The sequence below is a fragment of the Homo sapiens genome, chromosome 20 (genome assembly GCF_000001405.40).
Source record: "Homo sapiens chromosome 20, GRCh38.p14 Primary Assembly".
Taxonomy (NCBI): Eukaryota; Metazoa; Chordata; class Mammalia; order Primates; family Hominidae; genus Homo; species Homo sapiens.
The window spans coordinates 49213722-49219003 of NC_000020.11; the positions used below are offsets into that span (position 1 = coordinate 49213722).

General features: G+C 46.7%; 1 protein-coding gene across 1 annotated transcript in view; it reads right to left on the reverse strand.

Moving 5' to 3' along the window:
- Nucleotides 1-5282, reverse strand: part of STAU1 (staufen double-stranded RNA binding protein 1) — a 105957-nt gene that overhangs the window by 100383 nt on the left and 292 nt on the right. The window lies entirely within an intron of this gene.

Here is a 5282-nt window from a genome sequence, read left to right on the forward strand (position 1 = left end):
ATTTAGTCCTCCCAACAGCCATATAAAGTAGATAAAAAATATCACTACTGTCTCTTTCAAACTCTGTTTTCAAAAGGTGAGGTATAAGCAATCAAGTAAAATGGAGATGGAAAACTGAAAACCACGAAAAGATCAAGGCTTGCCCATGGAACACAGATAATGTCCAAGTGATAATCATTCTATGCTTGAATCAGAAGATTTGGGGCCATGGCCAGGTGGGTGGCTCATGCCTGTAATCCCAGCACTTTGGGAGGCCGAGGCGGGTGGGTCACCTGGGTCAGGAGTTCAAGACCAGCCTCGCCAACATGGTGAAATACTGTTTCTAATAAAAGTACAAAAAATTAGCTAGGCATGGTGATGCACCCCTGTAATCCCAGTTTCTTGGGAAGCTGAGGCAGGGAAATTGCTTGAACCCAGGAGGCAGAGGTTGCAATGAGCTGAGATCATGCCACTGCATTCCAGCCTGGGCGACAGAGCTAGACTCTATCACAAAACAAAACAAAACAAAAAGAAAGACTGGGTGTGGTGGCTCACGCCTGTAATCCCAGCACTTTGGGAGGCCAAGGCAGGTGGATCACCTGAGGTCAGGAGTTCAAGACCAGCCTAGCCAACAAGGTGAAAACCCGTCACTACTAAACATACAAAAATTAGCCAGGCATGGTGGCATGTGCCTGTAGTCCCAACTACTTGGGAGGCTGAGGCAGGAGAACCGCTTGAACCCGGGAGGCAGAAGTTGTAGTGAGCTGAGATTGTGCCATTGCATTACAGCCTGGGTGACAGAGTGAGATTCCGTCTCAAAAAAAAAAAAAAAACAATAACAAGAAGAAGATTTGGGTCCATGTCTAGGAGATAATGTCTAGATCTCAAACAGACCTAGAGTCAAATGCCTGCCACCCCTCTTACTGTATAGAAGGTAAGCTACTCACTTTCTGGGCTTGGGTTCCTCATCTGTCCAATGGGAATAGCTCATAGAGTCATGAGGATTAAATTAGATCATGCTTGTGAAGCATCAGGCATGAATTTAGCTCTCTTGCTTTTTCTCTGACTCCACATTGCTAATCAAGTTCAGCCTCATGACCTAATTACTTCCCAAAGCTCCCACCTCCTAATGCATCAGTTGGGGTTAGAATTTCAACACATGAATTTGTGGGGGACACAAACATTTAGTCCATAACAGAAGGAACATGGGATCAGTTAGGATTAGATTCAGTTGCATGTGACAACAAAACAAAACAACAGTGGTTTCAACAACATAGCAGACAATTTGACCTCACATAAATGAAGGCTGAGGAAGTCTGAGGTTGCTAGTCCAAGGCTTACATGGCTGTGCTCCCTAAAGACCTTAGAAGCGCAGGCTCCTTCCAGCTCTCTGATCCACCATCCTCATCCTCCTGGCCCAAGATGGGAATGAGAGTGACAGCCACTCCATCCAAGTCTGTTCCCACTTTGGGGCTTTTGCACTTGCTGGGTTTTTTTCTTAGAAATCTTCATCTGAGCCTCTTTCTCTGCCTTTGAGTCTCAGCTTTGGAATGTGGTCACCGTCTCAGAGAGGGCTCCCCTAACCACATGCCTCAGGCCCCTCTTGTTGACCCGCCTTTTATTCTTCATCTCACTTATATCACCTGTATGTATCACCTGGTTCTGATACCTACCAACCTTCTGACCTTGGGCAATTTCCTTAATTTCCTCAAGAGCCTCAATTTCTTCACCTGTAAAATGGGGATATAACAGCACCCATAGGAAACTTACACTTTAGATTCATGAGAGTGGTTGGCTCTTGAGTGTTGGGGAGAAAAGAAACGGTGATATCTACAGTGTCCACAGCAGAGCTTAGAACAAAGTAGAATCTCAATAATATTTGTGGGATTAAGGAAAATATTATGTTAATAAACTCATCTTCAGTTGGTGCCACTACTCAATAGTAGAATATTGCTCAACATTGATTACTGAGTAACATTCACCTTGAGTCTCCGAGAATAAAATCAGTAGAAAACTCCCTGCTTTGCCAGGCGCAGTGGCTGACGCCTGTAATTCCAGCACTTTAGGAGGCTGAGGTGGGTGGATTGATTGAGGCCAGGAGTTTGAGACCAGACTGGCCAACATGGTGAGACCCCAGTTTCTTCTAAAAATACAAAAATTAGCTGGGTGTGGTGGCACATGCCTATAATCCCAGGTACTTGGGAGGCTGAGGCAGGAGAATCATTTGAACCCAGGAGGCAGAGGTTGCAGTGAGCCAAGGTTGCACCACTGTACTCCAGCCTGGGTGATATAGCAAGACTATGTCTCAAAAAAAAAAAAAAAAAAAAAAAAAAAAGAAGAAGAAGAAGAAAAAAAAAGAAGAAGAGAAAAAGAAGAAGAAAACTCTTTGCTTTGAATTGGGGGGCATAGCTGGGTGCAGTGGCCCACACCTATAGTTCCAGCTATGCAAGAGGCTGAGGCTGGAGGATCACTTGAGCCCAGGAGTTCCAGTCCAGTGTGGGCAACATGGCAAGACCCTTATATCTTAAAAAAAAATCCCTCAAGGCTGGGTGCGGTGGCTCACACCTGTAATCCTAGCATTTTGGGAGGCCAAGGCAGGCAGATCCCTTGAGGTCAGGAGCTCGAGACCAACCTGGCTAACATGGTGTAACCCTATCTCTACTAAAAATACAAAAAAATTGGCCAGGCATGGTGGCGGGTGCCTGTAATCCCAGCTACTCAGGAGGCTGAGGCACAAGAGTCGCTTGGACCCAGGAGGCAGAGGTTGCAGTGAGCCGAGATCATGCCACTGCACTCCAGCCTGGGCGACAAAGTGAGACTCATCTCAAAAAATAAGTAATTAATTAAAAAAAATTAAAAACTCTCAAAATAAAAAAAATGAATTGAGGGGAGAAAACTTCATTCTCCTGAGCATAGCTAATGATCTGGGACTGATGTGAAACCCCCAAAGAGAAAAATAAGAAATTTTTTTTTCCTTTTTCCCAGTCTATTCCTTTTAGACTTGGGTTTGGGAGGGAGATAAAAAGAATGACATGGGACGTGGCAGGGAAGTAGGCTGGGGGTGAAAGTTGAGATCGATTTCATAGGAAGGTGAAGCAGATCTCTGAAGCTCCCAACATCTTTGACCTCCAAGGATCTCAGAAGACTTGCTCATTCTTGGGCAAGGCTTTCAAGATCTTCATATCTGCCTACATCTTATCCATTGCAAATCATTCTGGGGAATTAGGATGTGAAGGCAGCCAGGATTTGGCCCCATCAAATAAAGAGGTAATAAGATTGCAACCCACGGGGCACAGATCTCCAAAGAGATGGTGCTGATGTCTCTGAGCCCAGAGGCTCCCATGGGGCTGGGACCCAAACCTTGGAGAATGAGGCGCTGCTCAGCGTTGCTGGTGCTCTGGCTGGGTACAGAAAAGCTGGTTCTGTGAGTATTAAAAAGAAAAACAAGCAACCCCCCACTCCCCGGCGCTGCCAAATGGAATGAATTGCTGCTTCTAGGGAGAAGTGCTGCTGGAGTGACACAGGAATGCGAAATAGAACAAGACCCAAGTTCCCGCTTCCTCCTCCAGTGCTCCGTTCTCTCTCACATGCGCCCCCTGCTGGCAGATCCTAACAAGGAACTTGATGGCAAAGTACAAACATGGTTCCTGGAGTCCCACCCCAGGTACATGAGTCAGGTATAGAAGGGTTAGTTTGAAGCTGACAGTACCGTAATAACGGGCACAGCTTATTAATTTGAAAACTATTAGATGAAACTACACAAAGAACCAAGAACAAAAACTTGTGTTCCCCAGTACCATTTTGCATCCTTTGTATCCGGAGTTTTTCTTTAGCTGTTGTATATCCTTCCTAACAGTGTCTTTATTTTATAAATAACTAGGAAGTTACCCAAGACCACACAGTAAGGAGCAGAAGCAGGATTTGAATCAAGGCTGTGTGGCTCCAAAGCCCATCCTGTTTTTTTTTTCCTTTTAAAATATATATATATATATATTTTTAGGCCAGGCGCAGTGGCTCATGCCTGTAATCCCAGCTACTCGGGAGGCTGAGGCAGGAGAGTCGCTTGAACCCAGGAGGTGGAGGCTGCAGTAAGCCGAGATCGCGCCACTACACTCTCACCTGGGCGACAGAGTGAGACCCTGTCTCAAAAATAAAAATAAAAATAAAATAAAATAAAATAATTTTTTTTTGAGACGGAGTTTCCCTCTTGTTGCCCAGGCTGGAGTGCAATGGTGTGATCTCAGCTCACCGCAACTTCCGCCTCCTGGGTTCAAGCGATTCTCCTGCTTCAGCCTCCCGAGTAGCTGGGATTACAGGCACACACCACCATGCCCGGCTAATTTTTTGTATTTTTAGTGCAGACGGAGTTTCACCATGTTGGTCAGGCTGGTTTTAAACTCCTGACCTCAGGTGATCCACCTGCCTCGGCCTCCCAAAGTGCTGGGATTACAGGCGCGAGTCACCGCGCCCAGCTAGCAATATATATTTTTTTAATTCACATTTTCCATCACTCCCTACAAAGCCCAATCTTTTTTTTTTTTTGAGATGGAGTCTTGCTCTGTCGCCCAGGCTGGAGTGCAGTGGCACGATCTCGGCTCACTGCAAGCTCTGCCTCCTGGGTTCACACCATTCTCCTGCCTCAGCCTCCCGAGTAGCTGGGACTACAGGCGCCCGCCACCACGCCCGGCTAATTTTTTTGTATTTTTAGTAGAGACGGGGTTTCACCGTGTTAGCCAGGATGGTCTCGATCTCCTGACCTCGTGATCCGCCCGCCTCGGCCTCCCGAAGTGTTGGGATTACAGGCGTGAGCCACCACGCCCAGCCAACACGTTTTTAATTAAAAACAAACAAACAAACAAACAAACAAAAAAAACATGATGGGGTCTTGTCATGTTGCCCAGGGTTGTCTGGAACTCCTGAGCACAAGCGATGCACCCACCTGGCTTCCCAAAGTGCCGTGACTAAAGGTGTGAACCACCTTGCCTGGTCTTGATTTTTATTTTCTTCTGAGATTTTTTTTCCCCTACAATAAACATTAATTTTAATTAAAAAGTTTCGGGGCTGTGCGCAGTGGCTCACACCTGTAATCCCAGCAGTTTGGGAGGCCGAGGCAGGAGGATTGCTTGAGCCCAGGAGTTCGACACCAGCCTGGGCAACATGGTGAAACTCCGCCGGGCGTGGTGGTGGCGCCTGTACCTCCAGTTACTCAGAAGGCTGAGGCGGGAGGATCGCTTGAGCCCGGGAAGTCGGGGTTGCAGTGATCCATGATCTCCACTGCACCCCAGCCTGGGCGACAGAGCCAA